Source organism: Homo sapiens, chromosome 5 (genome assembly GCF_000001405.40).
Source record: "Homo sapiens chromosome 5, GRCh38.p14 Primary Assembly".
NCBI classification, from domain to species: domain Eukaryota; kingdom Metazoa; phylum Chordata; class Mammalia; order Primates; family Hominidae; genus Homo; species Homo sapiens.
Window position 1 is genome coordinate 142,799,027 of NC_000005.10, and position 27,796 is coordinate 142,826,822.

General features: G+C 44.0%; 1 protein-coding gene across 35 annotated transcripts in view, besides 1 other annotated feature; it reads left to right on the forward strand.

The window, feature by feature from the left end:
• ARHGAP26 (Rho GTPase activating protein 26) overlaps positions 1-27,796 on the forward strand; it is a 458,635-nt gene that overhangs the window by 28,650 nt on the left and 402,189 nt on the right. The window contains exon 1 of one of the 35 annotated variants that reach the window (XM_047416984.1): positions 2,602-12,464. The exons of 33 other annotated variants lie outside the window; for them this stretch is intronic. The gene's annotated coding sequence lies outside the window, so the exon portion shown is untranslated. Of the gene's footprint in view, positions 1-2,601; positions 12,465-15,490; positions 15,566-27,796 lie in introns of those variants that run through there. One more of the 35 variants, XM_047416990.1, reaches the window with a different exon arrangement.
• Positions 8,424-8,473: a silencer, noted in NCBI's record as "silent region_16477". NCBI's record gives its function as "represses an Ori minimal core promoter by ATAC-STARR-seq in GM12878 lymphoblastoid cells {active_cell/tissue: GM12878}" and the evidence as "EXISTENCE:reporter gene assay evidence [ECO:0000049][PMID:35858748]".

A 27,796-nucleotide genomic window follows, 5' to 3' on the forward strand; every position in this document is an offset into this window, starting at 1 on the left:
CAATCTGGTATACCTCGAAGAGATAATGTGTTCCACATTAAACCTAACAGACATCGCTAATTTGGTCACCTTTTCTGCTTTTACTCTTACTGTAAGAGTAAAGTAATGCTGCAGGTATTCACTCTTATAGCGGTGAATGGTATTAGGAGTAACAACTGTGGTGGGTTTTTTTTTTGGAGGCATATTGTAATGTATCTTTATTTTCTTTAGAGATATGTGTTTCTGCATTTTGGTTCTTTCTTACATTCGTTACAACTCAGACTATAAGATCCCCTTAGATGCTAAGCTCCAGAAGGATAGGGTTCATGGCTATATCCTGAGTAGTTTGCGTGGTGCCTGGCACACAGTAGCCATTCTACAAATGCTTGTCAAGACGAATGTCTTAATTTGTAATATGGTGAGAAGTTTACCCTCCATCTTTCAACAGTCCCAAGAGTGGATGCTTTGAGGCTGAGAGTATTTGTACCTGTGAATTCCTCAGCAGGATTTATTCCTTGAGCTGTAGGAATGACATGTACCTTAGTTCGTTTTGTGCTGCTCTAACAGAATACCACAGATTGGGTAACTTATAACCAACAGAAATTTATTGGCTCAAAATTCTGGAGGCTGGGAAGTCCAAGATTGAGGGCCCAGCATCTGGTGAGGAGGGGTCTGCTTTCTGTGTCATCCCATGTTGGAAGGGCAAAGAGAGGATGAGAGAGGCAAAAGGGAGCAAACCCATCTGTTTATAAGGAACCCATTCCTGTGATAATAAACTCACTCCCATGATTACAGCATTGATTCATTCATGAGGGCGGAGCCCCCATGGCCTCATCACCTCTTAAAGGTCCCCACCTCTTTGTACTGTTAGAGTGGCAACTACATTTCAAACATGAGTTTTGGAAGGGACATTAAAACTGTAGCAAAATGTAATTGACTTCACAGCTGCTTATTCACATGCTTGAGTCACTGGCCTGATGTAGTGGGACACACAGTGTTAAACGAACACTTTTGACTCATTGGTACAAATTTAAGTTGGTACCTTCTTATCCTTGAATGCAGGCTCTGAGAGAGCCATACTTCCCATTGTCTGGCACAATGATCTAGAAAGAAATACCTGCGTAATAAGTAACTATAAAAAATCCAGACTAAGTTTCTAATGATGAATAAAATTTGCACTACCTGAAAGGCTTAAAGATTGAGCCTTTAAAGGGGAACTAGGGAGGGCTCTAGAGACATGCAGCTTATTCGCTTCTGTTCTTTAGTGACTCATTGGAGTCCTTCCTCCCCCTCTCTCTGTCTCTGTCTGTCTCTGTCTCTCTCTCTCAAACTGCCATCAGAAGGCTGAGGTCTTTTTCTTTGTCTTTTTTTTTTTTTTTCTGAGATGGAGTTTCACTGTTGTCACCCAGGATGGAGTGCAATAGCGTGATCTCGGCTTACTGCAACCTCCGGGTTCAAACAATTCTCCTGCCTCAGCCTCCCGAGTAGCTGGGATTACAGGCACCTGCCACCACGCTCAGCTAATTTTTGTATTTTTAGCAGAGTCGGGGTTTCACCATGTTGGTCAGGCTGGTCTCTAACTCCTGACCTCAGGTGATCCACCCACTCAGCCTCCCAAAGTGCTGGGATTACAGGCGTGAGCCACTGTGCTCAGCCTCAAGGTCTTTTATCTAATTCCATTATTTGTGCTTTGTTAATAGACCTGCTTATGGTGTCAGTTCAGTAGTTTCCCGGCTTTCCACAACTATTCTCGTGAACCTGGCAGCACGTTCTCTTGTGCTCACGTGTGATTTGATCCCCATAGCTAGAAGGTGCCTGCAAACTGGAAGGTCTTAGAATCAGGGTGGGAGGAAAGCGGAGGCCGTGGCAGAGAGAGATCAAAATGATGCCAGGTTCATTTTTTGTTCCAGTCTAAGAAGGTATCTAAACCTCCACATTGTATGACTCCTGTTCCTCCCTGATGGGGAACATCAGGTCACAGATGGGGCTCTGGGCAAGAGTGTGTGTGTTTGCCTGTACAATTCAGTCATCAGCTTACTGCAGGTGCCGTTTCCTGTTCTTGAGGCATCTTTAACTGCATGATGGTGGCTATGTGGTTTTAGTTGGTTGGAGCACAGGTCTGATTGCTTTTTCTTTCTTTTTAACATTTTTTCTGGGCATAGCTTTGACTCTTTCCTCTGGGTTTGAGCTGTGGAATTGCTGTAGGAGCTTTTTGCATTGTGTTTTACACATCTAGTTCTCCCTCCTGTCATCTTGAAGTTCACATCTGTGCTATTCTAGTGCTGCACTGTGGGATAATAAGAGTTATAGTCATAGCGAATAGAAATTGATGACGCCCTATGTGCCAGACCTTAAAATCTTGTATGTACTGTCATTCAGTCATCAGAACTTTATAATGTATAGTGTCACTGTTGTGCCACCATCTCTTTTTTTTTTAGATGAGGAAAGACATGAGATCCATGGGAAAGACACTGGATGCCCCTTTTTGGTAAATACGGACAAACATAAAAACCCCAATCATCTTTTTGAGAAAAAGAGTGGGTACCTTGTCTGAATCCCTGGCATATTTTCAAGGCTGCCTGCTAAGGTGTAAGATTTAGTAGAGGGTTTTTTTTTTTTTTAACTGTTACCAAGGAGATGGATTGCCTTCCAAAGGCAAATATGATGATGAAGAATTCCCACCCCTCCCCCAGCCCCCGCCTTTGGCTGCTCTTGTGTTCAAAGAATGTCACTGTACCCAACTGTTTTCCTTGCAAGGAATAGGGACGAAAGTACCTTGTCTTAAACTTTTGTGGTTAGAGAAGCCCACAGCCCTTAGGGAAACATTGCATTTTTAAAAAATGACTTTAAATCCGTGCTGTTGATACTTATGTCTAATGCCAGTCATTGGTCTGGGATCTGTGTGCAGAGTTGCCTTCTGTCTGGTGAGACTGGAGTGGGTGCGGGTCAGATTCCGTAACCTCGTGGAGAGAGGATAAAAACTAGATTGAAAGAAGAACATCAGAGGGGATCTGTTCCCTCTTAAATCCCTGGAAGCTCCAGAGGCCGTGAGAGTTGAGATGAGAGAAACTATTCTGTGGTACCTTTTATATGAATGAGGTATTTGTTTACAACAATATCCAGATAATTTTCTTTTTACAGTAATGGCTACAATTTTGCCCCATCCTGTTATCATTGGTGATGAAGGCTATAAACAGATGTGTGGAAGTTGATGTTTTTCAGATTTCGTTTTCATTTTATTCTGAGCATTCTTTAACAGAGCTGTACCCAGTTAGCAGGATTTACCTTGTTTAAAGTTTGGTCTCCTTTTATTTTTCTGGTCCTTAATTTTAGTGGAGAGGTCCATGCGAAGTCAATTTGCTGAGATCTGCCAGTAGATGGAGGAAAGAAAAAGTACAGTAAGTCCTCACTTAACATTGTCGGTAGGTTCTTGGAAACTGTGGCTTTAAGTAAAATGGATTCTTGAATAATGTCATTTTGTTCAACGTAGTTTTTATTGTAATGTTGAGGACAAAAAAATTGGTTTTGTTATGTGTTGTTTTACTTAAAGTTGCAGTTTCCAAGAACCTATCGACGATGTTAAGCGGGGATTCCATGTAATTGTAATCGTCAGTTGAAGTGGCTCTGGAGTGTTTTTGGGATTGAAGTTTTATTGATGAAAAAGTAGGCATTGGCAAATTTTTTTTTTTAACAGCTGTATTGAAATACAATGCACATACTAGGGCACTGGAAATTTAGAATTAGCTCAGGGACACTAGAGTAGACAGTAGACCAAGTCTGGGACTCTGATGAGAGGCCCATTGACATTATTTGTTTGTTTAAATTAGGAGGCCCAAACCTGAGTTAGATTTCATCCTCTCCAAACCTCAGTTTCCTCACCTGTAAAGTAGAGAAAATAATACTTGGGCCTACCCCATAGGGCTCATTCAAGGATTCAGTAAGCCTCTAGTCCATATTAAGTGTTTTGGGGCCATGCAGGGCCAACTGAAGTTCCAGTGTGTAGTGGCGGGGAGATACCCCTTAATCCAGCCTCATGCGCAGACTGTCATAAAGTATGGGAACCTTATCTTTCTGGTCTGCATAGTTTCTTCTGGTGAAAGAATGGTTAATTGAACTGAAAGTACATTGTGTCTTGTGTTTGGGAAATAAAATAGTGATCTGAGATGCCAATTAAATCTAGTGTTGCCAGATAAAATATGGGACACCCAGTAAAATTTGAACTTCAGATAAATAATGAAAAATTTTCAGAATAAATATGTCCCAATATAATTGTAGTTTACCTTAAATTTAACTAGTTGTTCTGCATTTTTATTGGTGAAGTCTGGCACCTCTAATTTTGTCTCATTGTTTCCCCATTTGGAATCTTTTGGCTGCCTTTATGATAGCTGAAAATGAGTTGAGGAATTTCAAATAGGATGCAGAGGTATGATTTTATTTGCATCTGCCCCATAGCTCCTGTCCTTTGTTGTTGCTAATAGAAACCTGGCCTTTCACGAAAGGTCCCGTCATCTATTAAAACACTGGTTGCATAGCAGCCAAACATTTTTGTTGAGAAATAAGCCGGACGGAAATCTCTGTGATGACACTTCCTTCAACCTCACGCTATTGCCGAACATGCGACAAGGAGGATGTTGGGAATGGAATCATAAGAATCCTCCTGCAGCACGTCAGCAGTTCACCCTGGAGCAGTTAGAGGTCAGCAGGCAGGGACTCTGGTGGCATCTGGGGATGTGTTCTTGGGCTTTAATAGCAGGTAGGAAGCCTTATCTGTGGAGGAGTCCAGCAGTGAACATCCCATTCTGCATGCCAAGGGAACGCACAAATAGGCAACATACAAAAACAAAAGAAGTCAAAGGCCTGGTCCTTGATCACTGAGGAGTGTATAGTTCCAGAGAGGGATAGGACCAGCAGGTATTTACACAACACTTCCTTTGTGACTTTGTATCAGCACTGGTAGGTGCTTTCCACGCACTGTCATAGTAATCCTTAACAGCAGCCCTGTGAACAAGATCCTGTTATTATTCCCATTTTCCACATGAGGAGACTGAAGCTTAGGCTGTGGGATGGAGCCTGCAGCCGTAAAGTCAGCCTGACCTAAAAGTTCCTGTTCTGTCTCTACTCCTTATCAAATATTGCAAGTATAGGTTGAATCATATGAAATTGCCAGTATGTAACAATTTTGACCTACAAAAAACGACAGTTTTATATGGTTCAACTTCATCCAAAGAACGAGACCCAATATTATATACACACACATATATATATTACAAATAACTTGCTATTCCGTAACTATTACACATAACTTGCCGAGGCTGACTAGGGTGAATGAAATATGTGGACCTAGTTTTGGTCTAACCAGGGATGCTTCTGGGAAGCTAGTTTTCATTCATTCACTCACCCACTCACTCATTGGCTCACTCACTGAATGGAAACTTACTGAATTCTTCCAAGCATATTATTAAGCATAGGTTTGAACAGATTTTATTTTTTATTTTTATTTTTTTGAGACCGAGTCTCACTGTGTTGCCCAGGCTGGAGTGCAATGGTGTGATCTCGGCCCACTGCAACCTCTGCCTCCTGGGTTCAAGCAATTCTCGTGCCTCAGCCTCCCGAGTAGCTGGGAATACAGGCATGTGCCACCACACCCAGCTAATTTTTGTATTTTTAGTAGAGACGGGGTTTCACCATGTTGCCTAGGCTGGTCTCAAACTCCTGACCTCAGGTGATCCACCTGCCTTGGCTTCCCGAAGTTCTGGGATTACAGGCATGAGCCACCATGCCCGGGCTGAACAGATTTTTTTTTTTAAACTTTTTATTCAGAAAAATTTCCTTCCTGCTCATTTGTAGTGAATTCTGCTCTCACCATCATGCAACCACTAATCTGTGTTTTGTATGTGGGCCATTTCTGGCCATCTTGTATGAATGGAATCATTCAACGTATGATTGTTTGTGTCTTGCTTCTTTCACTTAGCATAATGTTTTTCGGGTCCATTCATGTTGAAGCATGTGTCACGAGCTTATTCCTTTTTATTGCTGAATAGTAGTCCATCATGTGGCTATACCACATTTTCTTTTTCTTTTTCTTTTTTTCCTTTCTTTTCTTTTTTTTTTTTTTGAGATGGAGTTTCACCCTTTTCGCCAGGCTGGAGTGCAGTGGCGCAATCTCGGCTCACTGCAACCTCCGCCTCTCGGGTTCAAGCAGTTCTCCTGCTTCAGCCTCCCAAGTAGCTGGGATTACAAGCATGTGCCACCACACCTGGCTAATTTTGTATTTTTGGTAGATGTGCGGTTTTGCCATGTTGGTCAGGCTGTTCTCGAAGTCCTGACCGCAGGTGAACCACCCGTCTTTGCCTCCCAAAGTGCTGGGATTACAGGTGTGACCCACCACGCCTGGCCCACATTTAGTTTTTCTATTCTCCAGTTCATAGACATTTGGATCATTTTTACTTTTTGGCTATTATGTATGTTGCTACTATGAAATTTTTGTACAAGTTTTTGTGTGGATGTATCATTTCTCTTGGGTAGGTAACTAGGAGTGGAATTGCTAGGTCATGTGGTAAGTTTGTATTTTACTTTTAGCAGGTTTTTGAGGAGGGAGAGCGAAAAATGAGTTTATATGAAGGCCCAAAAGTGTGACTGAGGTTTGGAATAGCTAATGAGGCAGCTGTAACCTGGAATGAAGTACCAGAACCCAGAAAGATGAGCTGGACAGATTTTAGTAGGAAGGTTAAAGGTGCTCTGGAGTTAGCCAGTGATCCTGCTGCCTCTCCTTCTCTATGAAGCCAGTGTTCCTTTCTTTGCATATTTGGTAGGGTGGGTAAAAGGCTCCTCTTTCTGTTGCTGATTTTGGACCAGGAATGTCATTTTTTAACCTTCCAGTGGCAATAGTCCTTAACCCGGAAGTAGCAATGCTCCCCCTTCTAGAGCATCAATTCCCTAATGTGGAAATCCAGTCCCACAGTTTTCTCTGAGAAAAATGTGGACAGTGTAATATAATGGGTTATTCATAAGCCTAAATTTATATAATGCAAAGGTGTGTGTCTTATTCTTGGAGTGTATCTTTCTTACTGTTTTGGAATAATGAAGACTTTTTGTTGTTGTTGTCGGAGACAGAGTCTTGCTGTTTTGCCCAGGCTGGAATGCAAGGCACAAAGACGGCTCACTGGAGCCTTGACCTTCTGAGCTCAAGTGATCCTCCTGCTTCAGCCTCCCAAGGAGCTGGGACCACGGGCATGTGCCACCAGGCCCATGTATTTTTTTATTTTTATTTTTTGTAGAAACGGAATCTCACTATGTTGCTCAGGCTGGTCTTGAACTTTTGGGCTCAAGCAATCCTCCTGCCTGGGATTACAGTGCTGGGATTACAGGCCTGAGCCATTGTGCTGGCCATGACAACTTTTTAATTCAGTGATGTTAATATATGTTTTTTAACGGTTGTACATGGCATAATAAGTTATAGGCAATGAAATGTGTGTGTGTGTGTGTGTGTGTGTGTGTGTGTGTTTAGTTTAAGTTGGTTGTTGAAATTCCCAAATCTGGGGACTACTTCTCCAAAGAAAGTTTTGGGAAGGCATTAGTTAACATCTTTGTATTTTGCCTTCTTCCGTATTTTCTTACATTATTGTGTAGTGTGGGCATCTAGAGTGATGCCTGGACGACATCACAGTGAAAGATTAGTGCAACGAAGAAAAGACAATCCCAGTTATGTACCCCCCCACTACTTAGACATCTAACTCTGTGTTAATATATGCAGTTGATGGGCACATGTCATCTTAAATCCTTTTGGTAGTACAAAGAAGCCAGAACTAAGTTTAGTTTGGATTTCTTACGCATATTTGGAACTAACCAGCAGTTGACTCATTTCAGGATAAGCAGTTGTTTTCTATGGATATTCTGCTGAGGTTGGAGGCTCTGCACCAACTGTATGTGGTGAGGGCTTTGATATAGAACAGCAGCACTGGATCCAAAGTGTGAAGGGAGCCCTCAGGCTTGCTATACTGTGCCCGTCCTCAAGGTTGGGGCTAGGGAGAGGGATTTTTCTGTAACATGATCCTACAGTACACATAGCCACATTCTCCAGTTAATAATGACAACCGTGATAATGGTTGAAATTAATCACAGTGAAATTAAGGCATGAAATTAATAACAGTGAATGCATTGAGCCAACATCATGCTAAATGCTTTCAGGCATGATGCAATTTGATCCTAGCAACAGTTGTGTTAGACAGGTATGGTTATTCCTTTTTTGTGAGAAGCAACTTAGGGGCAGTAGTGTTTGGTAAATTGCACACTTACCTTGCCACTGACTGAATGAGAGATGTAGAGCCCATTGCCAGAAGGGGCCAAGCCAGGGTTCAAACCTAACCTGTTCTTTTAAAACCATGAGCCTCTCAGATCAGCAGTTTCTACACCAGATTGTATTCCCAGAGGCCCAGCGCTTCAGTTCAGCTGTGCTGCTGAGGTCTTGTGTGTGAAAAGGGAACTGGGAATGGATTCTGCAGGCCATGCTTAGCAAAACCTCCCTGAGGCAGCCCACGGCTCTGGTGTATCCAGCACACTTTATTGCTGCCCCTCTGTCTACAGACGGCTCTATTGATTCAGCCTTGGGAAGTCTTTGCCCCCTGCCCTCTTCACCCTTTTTGTTGATACATTCCCAGAATGTTCAAGTTCACACCCATGTTGCAACCCTGGCTCCTAAGCCTGAGGACAGGATGTGAGTGCCTGCCCTGGTGCTCATGGGTATCAGCGGGACAGAGATTTGTGCTGAGCTGCGTGCTGCTGGCTTCCCCCTTGCCTGTCCTTGGGAACTGGGGACTTTACCCGCTGTCTTTATGCAGTTCTTACAGGCCATATTTTAATGCTGTGTCATCTCTTAGAAAGATGGGTTGAAAAGGATAAACTGGAAGCTTCTATTCATTTCTCTTTTATTTTTAAGAATGTTGTATTTTGGCAGGGTGTGGTGGCTCACGCCTGTAATCCCAGCACTTTGGGAGGCCGAGGCGGGCGGATCACGAGGTCAGGAGATCGAAACCATCCTGGCTAATACGGTGAAACCCCGTTTCTACTAAAAATACAAAAAATTAGCCAGGCGTGGTAGTGGGTGCCTGTAGTCCCAGCTACTCGGGAGGCTGAGGCGGGAGAATGGCATGAACCCGGGAGGCAGAGCTTGCAGCGAGCTGAGATCACACCACTGCACTCCAGCCTGGGCAACAGAGTGAGACATTGTCTCGGAAAAAAAAAAAAAAAAAAAAAAAAAAAAAAAAAAAAAAAATGTTGTATTTTAGGAGAACATTGATCCGAAAGGTGATTTGCATGTCTTTTCTGCTTGTTAAACTCAGCATAGTTTGAGGTGGGGAAATCCCAATCATCTAATTGGTGTCAAATTTTGTTTAGTAGTAATTTCTGCATTCCCTTTTCTTTCCTTTCCTCCTCTCCTCTTTTTTTTTTCTCATCAGTTTAACATTTGCCATAGTTTATGCTTAGCAACCTGTGAGATACGGCTAGTGTCACTCACTTTTGGTAACACGGAGTCACCAAGGTACAGAATAACTAAGTGGGGTATGCAGGGTCTGGCCAGAAATACAATCTTTTGATTGCTAGCCCAGCTGCTTTCCTTGTTATCACTTTGTGGAGCAGGCTGGACATTGACAATGAGTTCTGAGACTGAGTGGAATGGGAGACCCCTCCCAGCTGGTGGTCGAGCTGCCTAGAGCATGGTCCATCTGTTTGGGACTAGGGTTGAGCTCCAAGATGGACCAATCAACCCCACCAAGAAAGAAACCCCTTCTATCACCGCGGAGTGTACCATAGCTCCTGTCAGCCGCTCTGGAAGTTTTTGCCACCAGAAGAGAGATGCAGAGCATCTTTTCTTACCACAGCTGAACTGAGAACATATGTTTCATCCATATATGGCACCTTACTTATTAAGCTTGTGTCCTTGTCCTTTCTAATACTCTGGCACCTTGCCCATCAGATGGCTGCCCCTTTTTATAAGATAAGTGCCTGTATGGCTGGCTGTTCTGATTTTAAGTCATGAGCTTTGACTTTTATCAGAAATTTACAGCTTGGTTTTCAAAGGACTTAGTTGAGTGCAACTGCATGAAATGGTAGTGTTAAATTTTATACTGTAGAAATGTTGAAATGGAACTCTATAAAATGTGCGTTTTCAGTGTCTTTTTTGAATGGTTTTATTTGTGTGTTTTATCAGTCTTAGACATTTTTATTACTCAAGTAATCTGTTCATTGTAGAATGATTAGAAAATACAGATAAGCAAAGAGAGAGAGGAAAAGAAAAGAAAAAAATATAGGTCTACTGTAAATAAAAGTTCCCCAAGAGAGAAGCCAGGATGTGAAGGACTTTGAGCTTCTTAGAAGAAGGGGTCAGATCAGCTGGTGCAATTCTGCATTCCCAGCAGCACTCTGTTCTTCCTGTTTTGGACACTAGCAATCAAGACAGAAGTTGGGGTGTCTGAATATGTCCTGGAGAAAGTCAAGATGGCTTTTGGTTTGCTGCCCCAGGCAGTGAGTCCCGGTGGTTCAGGGGCCAAAAGTCCTGCAGTTAATCCACCACCTGCAAGGGATGGCTGTGAAAAGAGAAAAATAGTCCTCCTTTGGAGTCCCATTATTTATACAGTTGCTAGCTTTCAAGCAGATAGAGAGAAAATAATCTTACAGTCATGCTTTCCCTCCTCTTAACTTCTGCCAGTCCTGCTGGAGCCATCCACTCCTTCATTCATCTGTCCATCCATCCATCCATCCAATCACTCATTCATTCATTCATCCACTTAGTGGCTCACTTCATTCATCCATTCAATACCAATTTACTGTGTACCTGCTGAGCACTAAACACTGTTGCATTTGGTTCTGGGAATACAGCATGAATAAGATAAGGCCCTTCTCTCATGGATCTTACATTGGACTGGTGCAGGTTTTAGTATCATTGCTTCCCTTTCAGCCTTACCTTTCTACAGCTGTGGATAAGATGCCATGAATTTGCGAGTAAAAGTGTTTATCTCTCCCTGGAGCAGACTAGACCCCTAGGCTCTGTCCTAGAGCACAACTCACCCTTAGCTGCCCTGCAACCTGATCATCTCCAACAGGGAAGGTGAAGAGAAGGCAGTATTTGGCTGATGAATTCTTCTCAAAATGATACTTTAGTTTTGTCTGGGAGGGGCAGGGGAACAGATCACAGAGGGAGGGGTTCTTGGCTTTATCAGAGAAAGAAGGCCTCATTGTGTGTTGTTGTTGGAACAGGTCCCAGAGACCTCAGTACAATTCTTTGGACAGGGCTGAGCTAAGCTACCATGTATACAATAATAGTCGAAAGAATAGTGTGGAATTTAGGGTAGTATCAAAGAGAGCTCTGTGTTACAGCTGTCTTCAGGCAGAGGGCATGACTTCAGCCCCAGGTCAAGTCCTGTTGTTAACTTCATAATATTTTAATGAACATGCCTTTTTGTGTCTGTTCCTCTCCCCTCTCCCCCATCTCTTTCTTTTTTGTGTGTGTAGTCATTTATTAAGGGATTTTGATAGAAAATTTAAAACTTAATCTCTGTAAACTCTTCCTTTTGAACTATGGCATACCTGAGTGGACAGGCAAGTTGCAGGGATGGGGACATTTGACACAGAGAACTTAGGAAGTTCCAGGAAACCAGTATTTCTGAAACTGTAGTCAATTCTGTTTTGATTTTTTGCTACATTGATGTAATACCTATTTCATTGTTGACCTAATATTGTTCTTTAAGTGGGAGTGCTTGTTCTTTTTGAAGGGACACTCTTCGTTTAATAAAGAACAAGTATAATTCGCCCAAAATAGTAAGTAACCATAAGCGTTGATATGTAAACTCTAGTGTTTGTGTCCTACATAAAGCGATTTGTGGTATGCAAGGACATATACATACCACATTTTGGGAAGTTCTGTTGTAGATTGTACCAGCTGTATTCACCATATTCTTGGAGAGTCAGATGAATAAATCTACCCGCTTCCAGTCCTTTCCTCCCATCTCCCTCTCCCACACTAAAGTGAATTGTGGGGCATGACACAAGTTGGAGAGAGGCCCCAGGGAGTGTTCCAGGACTGAGGGAAAGGAGGATTTGTGGCTACTCTGTGCCCTGCCAATGGAAGTAAAAATAGACCTACCTCCTGGGGTTATTGTTAAGTTTCAGTGAGCCAGTGCATACGGACTTTGCTTATTAGCACAATGCCTGGCCTTCCACTTTTCCTGATCATCTATAGGCACTGGCCCCTTGAATAACTTCACTCTGTATGCTGGGTATACAGTAATATTGCCAGCGCTGAAGCAGAAGATGCAGACACTGTGAAATGTGCTGTGGTCAACCAAGCTGTCCACATGCCAGGAGATTTATTTCCCATCTCTTCAGCAAGCTCTCTCCATCCTGGGTGGCATAGAGTAGAAGCTGAGAGTGTGGGCTCTGGACGCCGACAGCATGGCTTCCAATCCTGGCCTGTCCGTCACGTGTAGTTGGTAAGTACCTTATCTTTTTCATGTATTCAACAAAAAAACACTGTGTGCCTGCTGTGGGCCAGCCACTGTTCTAGGCTCTAAGGATTTGCTAGTGAACAATCTGAGGGACAGAATCATGCCTTTGCGGAGCTTATATTCTGGCCTTATTTTAGTCTCTTAAATGGAAGTAATAATAGACTTACCTCCTGGGGTTATTGTTAAGTTTAAGTGAGCCAATGCATACAGAGCCTGCTTATTAGCACAATGCCTGGCGTGCAGCTATTACTTAATAAATGCTAGCTTTTCACTTATGATACTCTTGTGCGCAGCCTTGCACCAGGCTTAGAACCCATTTTCATCATTCCGTTCCTGCTCTGGCTTCAGTAGCACCCAACTGAAATATTCTCTCCTTATTTCTTGGCCTCTAAGTAATTCTTGAAACCTCCCAGCTCTAGGAACCTCTTATGGCTTGCAGCCTCCTCACCTAATCATAGCACTCGAAGAACTCCTGGTCACCTCCTGAAATAAGCTTACTCATCACCTAGCTGCTGTGATGAGTTGGCATTCTCATCTCCTGGATGACGTTTTTTGGAAAGGATCTTTTGTGAAAGGCTCCCCCTCCCCACCCCGTCTACTGCCTTTTCCCCCCAGTGCTTCCTCTTCGCTTCCTGTAGTATGAGGGTTGTTCGGGCAGACATCCTGACCTTGCAGTTGCTGTAAGGATCTTTTTAACCCAGTTCTTTACAGGAAAACTCACTGTAGCATGGTTGGTCTAATACAGAGGTATTTTTTCATATTTTTAGAGCTGGGGTCTCACTCTTTTGCCCAGGCTAGAGTGTAGTGGTGCAGTCATGGCTCACTGCATCCTTAAACTTCTAGGCTCAAGCAATCTTCCTCTTTTTTTTTTTTGACAGAGGAGTGTAGTGGCGTAATCTTGGCTCAGTGCAACCTCTGCCTCCTTGGGTTCAAGCAATTCTCGTGCCTCAGCCACCCGAGTAGCTGGGATTACAGGTGTGCGCCACCATGCCCGGCTAATTTTTGTATTTTTAGTAGAGGTGGGGTTTTGCCATGTTGGCCAGGCTGGTCTCGAACTCCTAGCCTCAAGTGATCCTCCTGCCTCGGCCTCCCAAAGTCCTGGAATTATGGGCATGAGCCACCACGCGCAGCTTCAATCCTCCCTCTTCTGCCTCCCAAGTATCTGGGACTATAGGCACATGCTATCATGTCCAGCTAATTAAAAAAAATTTTTTTAGCGATGGGGTCTTGCTATGTTGCCCATGTTGGTCTTAAACTCCTGGGCTCAAGCAGTCCTCCTGCCTCAGCCTCCTGAGTCTTTGGAGTTGAGGGCATAAGCCACCGTGTCTGGCTCCTAAAACAGGGGTATTGATGCTGGGCCTTAGCAATCAATTATCTGTGGGAGGGCTTGACTGCATGTTAATTCTATATAATTTCTTTTTCTTTTTTTTTCTTTCTTTTTTTTTTTTTTGAGAAGGAGTCTCACTCTGTTGCCCAGGCTGGAGTGCAGTGGCGCGATCTCGGCTCACTGCAAGCTCCGCCTCCTGGGTTCACGCCATTCTCCTGCCTTAGCCTCCTGAGTAGCTGGGACTGTAGGTGCCGGCTACCATGCCCGGCTAACTTTTTTTGTAGTTTTTTAGTAGAGATGGGGTTTCACCGTGTTAACCAGGATGGTCTTGATCTCCTGACCTCGTGATCCACCCGCCTTGGCCTCCCAGAGTGCGGGGATTACAGGCGTGAGCCACCAAATTCTATATAATTTCTAAAAAGAAAAATTCTACCTATCCTCTCTGTGTAATTGACATAAGATTTTGTCCTGGGTTCCCAGCCTCTGAAAGGCAATACCAGGTCAGTCTCCATTGACTTCAGCACTCAGTGGCCTGATAGGACTTTTGTGCTCGGCCGTGCCACATGGCTGACTGTTTCAGAAGGAAACCAGACTGCTCTGCCCTTCAAAGAGTGGGAGGGAACTGGGTGACAGGGGTGACTTGGACAGTGTGTGTATTAATCTTCTAGGGCTACCATAACAAGGTCCCACAGACAGGGCAGTTTCAATAACAAAACTTGGTGTTCTCATAATTCTGGAGGCTAGAAGTCAGATCAAGGTTTTGGCAGGGCTGTTTTCTTCCCAGGTCTCTCTTTTTGGCTTGTCTTCTCCCAGTATCTTCACACGGTCTTTTCTCTGCTGTGCCTGTGTCCTAATCTTCTTTTCTTATAAGGTCACCATATTGTATTAGGGCCTGCCCTAATGACCTCATTTGCCTTAATTACCTCTTTAAAGACTCTATTTCCAAATACAGTCCCATTCTGAGGTACTGTGAATGAGGACTTCAACATAGGAATTTTAGGGGCCTCAATTCAGCCCTTGACAGTGTGGTTCAGGAATGCAGTTCCAAAATACACTCATGTTACCTAAGCCTTGAGTTCCTCAGGTGGGCCTCTGAGGGCCAGCAGGGAAGACAAGGTCAGCCAGCTTTAGGCTTGGGTGTGGACTTGGTGGCCACCATTACTAGTTTAATAAGATCTTACTGGTGGCTTAGGCAAGTTGGCTGTTCCTCAGGAGGGTTGGCCAGGCCTGAAGTAGGTGGACAGTGTTATCCACAAGTAGGTAAGCTTTGCTTATTAACCCTTGTGTCTTGGCTACTTTCAGACAGGAGTTGAGAAAGAGGAGTAGGAATAGTTTGGGGAAGAATTTGTTGATAGTAAAAGTGTGATATTGTCCTTCAGACAAGACTCAGAACTTTGTCAAGAGTTGGGAACACCATGGCTAGAGCCTTCCGGTAATCTGCAACTTCCCTGTTCTTCCTGTTAGATGTGCTGTAAACAGCGACTGCCTACAAGAGAGGTTTGGAATCTGTTGACTTTGGCTGGGATGTAGCCTAAGGAGATTCATCGGTTTCCAATTCCTGTTCTCTCAGGATATTAAGTATTGCCATGAACTGGAAAATTTTTCTTTATTAAAATTGGAGGAAGAGTTGGAGTGTTTTGAAAGAGACCTGGAACAGGAAGGGAGCTGACATGAGAAGTTCCACTGCATTGCTTCAGAGATGATTTTTATCTTTTTTGTGTTGCCGGTGCTCAGTGGCTTAAATCTTCAGTACAACAAGGTGAGATAAACAAGTAAATAAGATTCTGGAAGTACTGACATGGTAGCTAGCTTGTGAGGCAGTGTAGTATGGTGACTAAGTGTACAGGCTCCGGAGTCCCACTAACCCGCATTCAGAACCTAGCTCTACTGCTCATCACCTGTGTGACCTTGAGCCAATTATTTAACCTCTCTGGGCTTCAGTTTCCCTATCTGTAAGATGGTAATGATGTTGGTACTTACCACACTGGTTGTTGTGACAATCAGATGAGATAATGCGTTAGTGCCTGTAGACAATGCTCAATAGTTATTAGCCAGTTATTAGCCTCTGCTCTTGTTATCAATGTAGGATGATTGAGAGGCTGTTTCCCTAGTCAGTTGGCTGGCTCCTGACTCAGGGATAGAGCAACATCATATTACTTACGGAATTACATGATTTTTATCTTTTAGAGACAGAGTCTTGCTCTGTCACCCAGGCTGGAGTGGGGTGGCATGATCTCGGCTCACTGCAACCTCTGCCTCCCGGGTTCAAGGGATTCCCCTGCCTCAGCCTCCCAAGTAGCTGGGATTACAGACCAGCGCTGCTACACCTGGCTAATTTTTGTATTTTTAGTAGAGATATGGTTTCACCATGTTGGCCAGTGTATTTTTAGTAGAGATATGGTTTCACCATGTTGGCCAGGCTGGTCTCAAACTCCTGACCTTAGGTGATCTGCATGCCTCGGCCTTCCAAAGTGCTGGGATTACCGGTGTGAACCACCATGCCTGGCCAGAATTACATAATTTTTATGCTTGCTTTTCTATTTCTATTTTAGCTATGAGAACTCACTTTAGTCTTTTTTAGAGAACAGCAGTTACACTGAAGGAGGACATTTCTTTTAAATGGAAAAGAGTATTTTTTAAGTTATATTTTGTGTTTTGTTATAAATCTAAGGTTGGTTAGTTTTATTGGTTAAAAAAGTTTGCTAAGTGATGAGGGTCATGGATTCTTATTCACTGCACACATTTATTGAGATGTCCCTGCCACCTTCTAGCACCTTCCCCTGCTTCCTTTGCAGTCTCCAACCACACTGGCTGTCAGCCCTGGTCCACCACAGGGCCTTTGCACAGGCTGTCCCCAGGACCTGGAGCACTTTTGCCACTTCCCCTTCTCACCACTTTCAGACTCATTCGAGCCTCACTTTCCCCGGCTAGCCTTCCTGGTCCATCTGTGCTACTGCTGCTCTTTTCTTCTTATTTTTTTGAGACCAGGTCTCACTCTATCACCCAGGTTGGAGTACAGTGGTACAATCATGGCTCACTGCAGCCTCAACCTCCTGGGCTCAAGTGATTCTCCCACCTTAGTCTCCTGAGTAGCTGGGACCACAGACATGCACCACCATGCTTATTGTTTTTTTTTTTTTAATTTTTGTAGAGATGAGGTCCCGATATGTTGCCTAGGCTGTCTCAAACTCCTGGGCTGAAGCCGTCCACCCGCCTGGGCCTTCCAGTGTATTGGGATTACAGGTGTGAACCATGGTGTCCAGCCCCTCTGTGCTTCTGTAGGACTCTGATTCTTTCCCTTCTACAGCATAGAGATATTGCTAACTGTACACTCATTTGGGTACAATTTGATTGAAGTTTGGCTCATCATTAGATGGAAAGCCCATGAGGGTAGGAACCATGTCTTTTTTTGTTTACCATCATATACTGAGCAGCTGAGAGCAACTTGGTGCATGATCGACACTGGATAAATATGTGTTGATGAGTGAATGGATATCATTTTGATGTAAAGAGTGTTAGGTACAGTGAAGGCTGCAGCGATAAAGCCTGCTCAATCTCTTCCCCTAAGGAGCATCTGGTATCATAGAGAACACAATTAAATAGTGCCATAGGAGGAGTACATGAGTGAAGCCACAATTCACAGGAGGATAGTCACTCTCCATTAGTGGAGAAGCAAAGGCATCTTGTAGGAGATGCCATGTGCGCCCTGGGCCTTGGAGAAAGAGGAGTTGAGTCAGAAGAAATAGGAAGAAGAGACACATGAGATGGAAAGAACTGTGTGAGCAAAGGCTTGTGAAGTGCAGTGTGGCTTCAGGGAATGGGAGTCACATGGTTTGGCTGGAGCCCAGCTGCCTTGCAGGGAAGCAGTGGGTGGTAAGTTGGAATGTATGTCACAGCCACATTGTGGCAGGCCTTCAGTGCCAGGCAAGTCATTTGGGGTTGGTTCGGAGGAAAAGATAGGGGGAAGGTGTGATCAGTCCTTGAGCAGAGGGTTAGTGTGATCAGCACTGTGCTCAAGAAGATAGTGTCCAGTGTGGTTTGCATGGAGTGTGGAGGCAGGAGCAGCGGGAGGGGGAGCAGGTAGGAGACAGAGTGTGGGAAGAAGAGGGCTTACGGAGAAACCTACAAGTGGGCTGTGTAGTGAGGAGAGAGAGCACGTGGATGGGGCTTGATCACTGACTAGATGCAGGAGCCAGGGCAGAGGGAGGGGACAGAGAGGGTGATGGGATTTTGCATCTTGGGCTTCTGAGACTTTAATGATTCTTTTAAATTAAGGAACTGGAAAACACTCAGCATGGTCCTGGAAGTGTGGGAAGTTCAGTAAATGTTAGTTCTCTCCCCAGTGCCAGAAATCAGGAACTCAGGCAGAGAAGCAGATGGGAGGGGAGGGGGAAGGTGGAGGTGCTGGCACTGTATTCAGGTGATGAGACCCAGCAGCTGGCTGGAAAGAGCAGGAGCAGAGTTGGCAAGGGACAGTGGCGAGTGCCACCTTCACAGAGTCATTGTTGAAAACAAGGGAGAGAGAAGAGGCTTGGGTAGAACCAGGGAACCATTCCCCTTTCAGGGTAAGAGGAGGAAAAGTGAGAGGCAAGTGCAGAACAGTCAGAGATAAAGGGGAAAGGCACTGAGAGGATGGTGCCTTGCAGTCCCGGGTTCATAAGACAGGTCTTCCTGCTGTAGAGGTGAAGGATAAGAGGGCTGTTGGTGGCCTGTGGGTGGGATTGGGTCTGGGGTCGGGCCTCGATTTCAGCCTGCCATCTTTGTTACTCACGTTCCCTGACCACAGACCTAATCCCCATCCCTGGGTGGCCATGTAGTAAGTGCCCACCTCTCATGAGGTGGTGTGGACACATCAGCTCAACTTCAGTGCTGGCCTCAGTGACTTGCCAGGAGCAGTCATTACATCTGTGCTCGCCAAATTGCACTGTTTGCCCCTGCTGCAGTGATGGTGGAGAGTGGTTGTATCAGCATTATTTTTATAGGACCAGCCATACTAATGTTGAAAAGCTCAGGAGACTTACTTAAAATTCCTGGACAGAACCTGAAATCTACTTGGAGTTTGGGGAATCAGAGTTTTAGTTGTGATTCATTTGTGAACTTTGACAGCTTTGTTGTCTTCTCTGAGCTTTAGGTTTTGGAAATGAGATATGAGTTATAGGGTGTCAGAACAGGTTCTGGGCTTGTATTTAAGGTTCTGCTTTCTCTTTCTTAGCATGTCATCCAGTCCTAACACCAGGAATGTAGTTTCTGTTCCAGTATTTGTTAGGAGTTGGGACAGCTTGGGTATTGGCAGGCTTCCTTGGTTCTGCCTGGCCTGGAAGTGTATCTTTCCTTCCACCGTGCCATGTGGGACCACAAAGGAGAATGCCATGTACCAATTATTGTAAAAAAAAAAAAAAAGTCACTCTGGTTTAACCCTCTGTGATCTGGGACCAAGCCAGGCTCCACTGGGCCTTGTTCTGGCCAGCCAAGCCATGCCCCGGTCAGGTGGCACAGCCTCTCCCCCAGCCTCTTACCTCTGCACACCCTTGTTTCTTGGTGCTGTGCCCATAGGTGTGGCATTGCTGGCTGGGGTCAGGGACTGACGGCACAGGAGACAGGGCTGCTGGAGGGAGGACCTTTTGGTGGCTGCACCGTCTGCTGTCACTCTGACAGTAGGTCTACTTGGGGTCTCTGTCCTGTCCTTTAATATCATTTAAAAAAGCAAGGTAGTGAGATGGCTCAGACTCTGGAGTTTGGATCCTTTATTTATTAGCTATATCACCTTGGAGATCACTTAATATTTCTGAGTCTTCATTTCCTCATGTATAAAATGAGGAAAATGACATTACCACCTTCATGGGGCTCTCAAGAAAAACAAAATGAGGTAACAATTGTAAAGAGCCCGATTCACATGCTAACATACACAGTAACTGTAAGCTGTGTTTGTCGTCATTGTTTCCCCACTATCAGCAGGAGGGAAGAGCTCCAGGTACCCTCCTGTTTGCTCCTTCTTGTGGCACCTCTCACCTGGAGTAATGTGGAGGGGACCCACATTAGAATGCCCCTTCCCTGACCCTATGATAAGGTTCAAGCCCTACCCTCTTTTGGGGTATATCTGGGAAGGGTGCTCACCCAGCTTCTAGCCTTCCTTCAACTCCACCTGGACATTGGAGCCAGAGCTGTGCAGCACAGTGAGTCTTAGGGGTGATTTGGTTGCAAGGAGAAACTGCCTGCTCAGACCAGCTAAAGAGAAGTTTATTGCTAGGTTACTGGGATGTCCCTGTGCCTACTTTTTCTCTAGGGCAGCTGGTGTCTCCTCTTACTTGCCTCTATGGACTGGTTTTCTGCCTCAGGAGGTCACCCTAGTCCAAGTCGAAAACATTCCTCAGTTTGCTTGTCTAACGTCAATTAACAAGTTCCTCTGTGCCCTAATTACAAATTCCCCTGAAGAAAAGCAGATTGGCCCCAGTAGGTCAGAGGTCAACCATGGTCCTTGCAGTGGGGAGTCTGGGCTGTGGGTGGGTGGGCATGTTTCATCTCACTGATGGGGTAGACAGGTCACAAAAAGGACACCTGGACAAGTCAGTCACACCCACAGGTGACATAATTTTCTGGCCTTCTGGCAGGAGGGAAAGCCCTCTCCTCCCATAGCCTGCTCTGCCAGGCATGTGCAGACTGAGGCTGTTAGGTCTTCTGGAGTTTGCCAGAATAGACAGCCTTCTGCATCACAGGCCATGCATGCCTCATAAAATCCTCACATGGTTCCAGATCTCTGGATTACACAAACTGATGTTACCTGAACAGGAAGAGTAGTCATATATAGGTGATAGGGGAGATGATTTTAGGTGTACAGTGACACAATGTTTTATACTGATAATTATATGCTGTATTTGGAAAACTTATAACTAAGGATCAAACCCACAATTTCACAATCATTACATAGAAAATTTACTTTCATTATAGATGTAAGTAATAATGAGTTTCTTATAAAAATTTACATAGTATGGACTTGATTTTTTTTTTAAAGTGAAGGTGGGATAATTGAATGATGAAAGTTAAGAAGCCCTGACTGGTGTTGCATACACCAGGGTTCTTACCTGTGAACCTGTGGGAAGACTTCAGGAGGCCTGTGAAGCCCTTGAAGTTGTAGACAACATTTTGGATTTACTTACCGGTCTGCCGTTGTTTGTGGAGGAGGGAGAGTGAGTCATCGCTTGGTTTAGAAATTTAGTGTTGGAACTTTCTGGGGGTTATTTATTAAAGGTTCCAATTTCCTTCCCCAGAGATTTTGATGTAGCAGTGGAAATGGAATCCACGAATGTGCATTTCACATGCATTTAGATGAGGAGTGCAGGTGGTTCTCAGACCTCACATTGAGGAACACTGCTTATCAAGAGTTTCAGGAGACCCCAACGTTGAGAATTCAGTTCTGAGCCATCCCAACTTCTTAGGATTGTTGTGCGGTGGTTAAAACTTTCTTGTTAAGAGTTTTTGAGATCTTTGGACGAAAGGTTTCTGGATAAATTTATATCACAAATTAGTAAGGGTTTCATAGTAAGGTGGCTTTCTTTTCCCTGATCAGTCATTTTGTGGTTGGGTTTGATCTTTTTAGTCCAAGATGCTTAAAAAAACAAAAAAACAAACAAAAAAAACCCACCTAAGGCTCATATTGAACATTGCCATCCTGGAGCTGAAGGCGGTAGAATAACTTCAATTCAGTGTTAGAGAGAGACAATCACAAGTGTTTGTGAGCGGCTACGATGGCCTCCAGCATGGTTCTCAAACAGCAGGGGTGTATCTGTGCAGCAGTGGGATGGGCAGAGCTGGACCTTGCCCTAGACATGCAGAGCAGCAGTTACACTCTTCCATTTAGAAAACAAAAGCCTTTTCTTTTGAATGGATCTTGATCTTTGCATGTTCATAAAGGCCATAATAATAAAACATAAGAATGAAACATTTTTAAGCAATTGCAATGTGTCAGGCACATCACGTATGCATTTTCTTATTTTTCCCGGAACATTATGAAGTGGAGTCTATTCTTGATTGCATTTCATAGACAAGGAAACTCAGACTTCAAGGGTAACTAGGTAGGACAGCCAAGATGACTAGCCTTCTGTCCCTCCACCTCCGCTAGAAATCAAATTACCCGGGAAGGCAATGCCAGGTAGTGGTGGGATTAAGTAGCTTTTGCTCTGCTTAGAGCAGACAGGATGCCAGGAATGAGGACTCCTTGAGGTGGAACTCAAGTGGAAGATGAGTAAACTATATCTTAGAGCTATATTACAGAGCTTCTTGGTATTCTGTTTTTATTTTCCTTTTATTATCCCCTATCTTTAAGGCATCTTAACTATGTTTCTGTGGACCAAGAGAAGAGCGGGTGAATTACTCACACATGGGCCAAAGTGATCAAAGGAGTGCATCTCTCTATTCCACCCCAAGCTAGTTTGGTGTTGGCAGCAGTTGGCAGGCTTCCTAAGGTAGAGTGGTTTTTTTTTTTTTTTTTTTTTTTTTTTAAACTTGGCATTTCAAGGACTGCCTTACAGAGGTGGGAGGTTCTTTTGATGGCCCATAGTAGAGTTTGGAAATTTTGTGTGTGTATTCCCATACCTGCAAGTGCACTCTTACATTTTTCTAGGTGGTAGAGTCCTTGACTTCCATTATAGTCTCAGAGTCATCTGTAACCCTGAAAAGATACCTTACAGCAAGGGGAATGTTTTATTGCTGGGCCATGGCTGGGAATTATCATTCCTGGACCAGCACCATCAACATCGTCTGGGAATTTGTTAGAAATTCAGAATCTTGGGCCCCATCTGGTAGCTGCAGAATTGGAACTGGCATTTTAACAAGATACCCAGGTGATTTATCTACACATTAAAATTTGAGAAACACTTGGACTGAGTAACCCTTCCCATTTGGTGACAATTTCCAGTGCCAACTCTGTGTAGGAGGAATTTTTATTAAGAAAAGCCATCTTTCCTTACAGCTTTGTTTAGAAAGTAGGGTGCCTCTGGTAAGTGTAATAGTTCTCATCTTTGCCCCTTACGTATTGGTGCTCAGCTGCTTATAAATTGAGTCAGATCTAGATAAAGGAATTTTTGTCCTACATAGATTAATTGACATGAGCTGTTAGGTTGGCCATAAAGGGCTGACCCAGCCCTTTGAGGGAAATAAAAAGTTAGAGATGACAAACTATTAACCTGTTAAACATACTCCAATCCCCCATAAAGCTGTTCTTCTAAGAGTTCATTGGTGGGTTTAAGGAAATGATTGCACTGGCTTCTCAACTTGTCATGATTACCTTGGAACAGTCTTTACTGGTCTCTCTTCTTCCTCTTCTTGCCTTTTGCCTAGAATTGACTCACTCTCCATCTTTCTATCACACTAACTGTTTGATGAATCATCAACAGTAGGGCAGTTTAGTCTTAATTTGCTCAGAGTGCTGCCTGATGACTCAGACTCACAGTTAATAAATGCAGCATCTTTAGTTTTGTGATTATATGTTTTCTGGTGACATACATGCTGGGCTCTGTTAATCTCGAAAGGGGAAGGCTATCTTCATTTTGGCATGCTTTGATCTGGCAGCTCCTCCAGTTAATGCTGAACTTTAGCTCACTGTTGAACATTAACTCTCTGTGAGTGTGTTGGCAAGAGATCTGCAGGGTTAAATCTCGGTATAATTCCTAAATAGGAAACAAGTATAATGTGGTACTGGAGATACATACACAAATACACACACATGGTGTTTGTGTACATATTTATCAGATACCATATATATATATAGCTGATATATATGTATATGTATAATATATATACACATATATCTCACCATGTGTGTGTATGCACACACACCATACATATATGTATATTCATGTCACAATTAAAGTCCATTCTAAATTACAGTAAAGCATTCGAATGGTTGGATTGTGTGTGCTTCTTACTGGTCTTCATCTGGAACCTTGGACATTATATTGGTTATATGACAGTCTCTCCAGTGGAGGAGTTGTTGAAGGCTAAACCCCATATTATTCCCTTTATATCCCTAACCTCTAGCCTGGTGCCAGGCACGTGGGAGACCAGTCAGTAAATAGTTGCTGAGTGATGGATGAACCATCTAGGGATCAATAACTGTGCTGGTTTACCAGTGAGCCCTTATTTATTGAAATATGAATGATGTTGATAATAGCAGCTATCATTTATTGTATGCTTACCATCAAATAGGCACTTTAAATACATTTCATTGTATAATTCAATAACCTTATAGGGCAAGGGGCATCACTATTCCCATTTTACAGCTGAGTTTCTTATAAAGTAACTTGGTCAGTGTCATTCAGCTGGTGAAGGTGGAGCTGAGGGTGGAGCTGAGGATTGGACCCTTGGGCCTCTGGCATGGAAGCTCGTGCTAAACACATGAGCATTTAATTCTCTTCAGGTAAGGACACTGACCTGTAGAAAGGGATAGGAAGCAGCAAGCCATGGCTTCTGCATGGCTCCTGTAACATGATCAGTATATGCAGATTACAAATGTTGGCTACCCCAGTGCCTGGTGCTCCTCCCTTCATTCAGTGTGCCCCTCCCTTCTGTGTTTTTTTTTCTTTCTCTTCTTCCCTGCAGAAATAAAGCCACAGACATCTGAATGTGTTCCCACTTCTCCCATTGTCCACCCTAAAGCCTGGCTCTTGGGACTGTGTGACGTTATACACCACTCTTTTTGTTTTTGGAACAAACTCTGTTACTCTGCCGTTTGCTGGTGTTATGGCAAACTAATCTCAAAGCACTGATCATAAGCAAGTACTATAAGAAAAAAAAAATCCTGTTTCCTTCCTCAAGGTGTAGGACCAAGGGTCTGGTTTGAAAAGTATTTTTATTTTTTAGATTTTGCTAAAAATCAGTGTCCTGCTGTCTTACTGAAATATGAATGTCACGGTGTGTGTGTTAACAAGTATTTGATGGCAATAATTGCTTTTGACAGATTATAGCTTGCTGATGGTTATTTAAAGGCAGTCTTTCCTTAGGCTACTTCTGTCTACCACTGCTTTGGGTAAAATGATTTGTTCTCTCATAAGGCCTGTCGTGACAGAATTTTCACTTTTTAAAAGTGGTCGTCTTATTTGTAAAACTGAAAAGATCTTTTCTTTCAGTGGTTTATAGACAAATAACAAAGCAATGGATGAGTACTGTAAAAGTTTGGGGACGACTTCACTTATTTTTGTGTGTTCCAGGGCTGGATGTGACTCATGCACATTTGGGGACCAGCTCCACAATGGGTTTCACACCATAATTTTTTGTTTGTGGAACACTGTATGAGTTTCAGTATGTTGTGTGTATGTGTGTGTGTGTGTACATTTGCTGCAGTTCGCGTTCCCATGCTCTGTGTCTTAACAGCTGTGTCCTGGGATGTTCTTGCAATCCAGGTTCTTGAGGATGTGTTGTTGCTTGCTGAGTGGAGCTCTGCTAGTTGCTCTTGCATTGGGCAAAATCGGAATATTAAAAAATCCCCAAGAGCTAAGCATGGAGTAGGAAGCATAGTTCCTGAGGGTCGTCCCTATCAAACACCACACCCTGGTTCTCTAAGACAGGACAGAGCTGGAAGTGTGTGGTCCCCAAGGCTCAGTACTTACTGGTTTAGCTGACATCCCACAGGCAAGGCTGCAGCCCTAGCATCAGCAGCTGTATAAGCTCCAGAGTGGGTGTCCCGGCAAGAGAGCCAGACAGGTGATTTGTTAAATTATTACCTGTGTGTAGCTTCTTGCCCCTGGTGCCAGGCAGCATGGAGCTCGGCAGGATTAAAAGGAGGTTGATTACACAGCCAGCAAAGGTAGGAGGTGAGACTGCCAGCTGCTACTGTGCTTAACTCTTGAGACACCCACAGAAAATGGTCCCTGCAGCTGTGTCTCTGTGGGACTTAAGAACATATAGGGAATGAGAGATCCAAACACAATGCATTGACAATGATAGGATTTCCTAGGAAGCCTTATTAATGGGCAGGGCACCAAGAGTGCCACGGAAGGGGCTAGGCTTTCAGCAAAATGTGCAGGAACTATGTTTCAGGAGTGGGGGAGAATCTGGCAAATGTTAAATATATATTGAGGATCATCTGTCCTCTGCTACTACAGGCAGAGAAGGGAGAAAATGGGCTCTTAACTCTTATTGGGGCAACCAATGAAAATGGATCAGCAACTCTTTTCATTCATTATAATTATTCAGTGTCTCCTATATGTAAGAACAAGAGGACCCCTCCCCTCTCCTTCAAGCTTGGAAAGTGGGCTGGGATAAGTAGTAGAGGCAGCTGTGGAGCATACTGTTCTCTTGCTGTGCGATCTTGGGCATAATAACAGTGCCTCCTTTACAGGATAGTTGTAAGGATTTAAACCAGGTTATGTATTGAAAGTGCTTACAACAGTACCTAGCACACAGTACATGCTCTATGTTAGTAACAGTAACTTGTTATTGCTACTACTGCCATCCTTATTGAGTAAGCAGGGGTCCTTGTGGAGGAAGAGGGTAGTTGGGAGCCCACTCAGGAGGTGGCCATGAGGGACAGAGGCCCCCTTCCATCCACTGTTGGAGGGGCTGGAGTTCTTGGTGCCCTTCCTGCTCGAGGTGCACATGGGGCTGAGGTTATGGAGATGAGAAGGAGGAGCCTGAAGGCTGGTCTCCTTCCCGTTGTCCAGCCCAGCAGGGGACCTATGTCAGCAGCCTCTCCTTGGGGACTGCCTGAGTGTCGTCACCCTGAGCAGCACAGGCTCCTTGATTTAATTTGTTTCCTGCCCACAAGCCACCTGAAGTTCAAAGGGTTATTATTTTTCTATTGTAATTCCTTAGCGGGACGATACATTCCTTCTGGGACCTGCAGGACTTTTTTTGGAAAGCTAAATTGGCAACACTGACTCAAGGAAAAGGCAAGTAGTTAAGAGCCGATATTCCGAAGCAAGGTATTCTAAAAAGGCTTTTCTGTCCAGTAGAGACTCCAGATCAGAGAGCAGGAAACTTTTCCTGAGCCAGAAAGTATCATTTATAGGTGTCCTTGGCGGAATCCCTCAGAACACAGTTCTCGAATCTGCCTGTAACAATGTTGCCTTTCCCGTGCTGTGTGCTGGCTTGGGAATTGTGGAATTCTGCACATGATGCATCTGGGTATTTAGTTTCTGGTGGCCGAGGAGAGATGATGAGGAAGCAAAGATAGAAGACCTAGATTTTCTTATCGATTTGCTGGTTAACCCAGGGAAAATTACTCTGTGCTTCATTGATAGAATTAGAACATCTTTCTGTCTCACGAGAGTGTTAATGACCAGTCAGACAGTGTTGAATCTGGGAATTATTTTTCAAGGAGGGGGATATGATATGTGATCAAATTGTCTTTTATATATTTAACAGACTAATGAACTGATGCTTCGTCTGTCCATTATTATCAGGGAACGGAGGCTGCTTCCTAGGTCAGATTTCCAGATAACTGGAGATTGTCCATACACTTGTCATGGTAGAGTAAGACTCACATCCGGGGTGGAGGAGGCGCTGTACACAGTTAACTCATTTAACCCCTACCACAATCCCATCATGTTAGGAATTGTCATACTACCCATTTTGCAGAGCAGGAAATTGAAGTTTAAAGAGGGGTAAATAAGTTTAAAGAGGGGTAAATAAGTTGCCCGGTTCATTCAATTATTGGATAGCCATTTATTGAATTTCAACTACGTGCTAGCACGAGGATTATTATCACCACGGTGAGTGGACCAGGCTTGGGTTGTCCGTAGGGGAGTTAGGATTCTTCCCAGGGATGTCTGGCAGGTGACTTGTCGCCACACCATGTTCTCTCTCACAGGATTTTAGTGGTGGGAGGTACAGGGCCTTCTTGAGACCCATGAGGTGGGGTGATTCCCTGTGTCCCTGGCCCCATCACCAGGTGCGATCTAGTTTTCAGCCTTAAAGCCCAGGTCAGTCTGCTGTCCTCTGTGCCTATCTCCACCAAGCCCTCCCACCTGCTACTATTTCAAATGCCAAGACTTGAAAA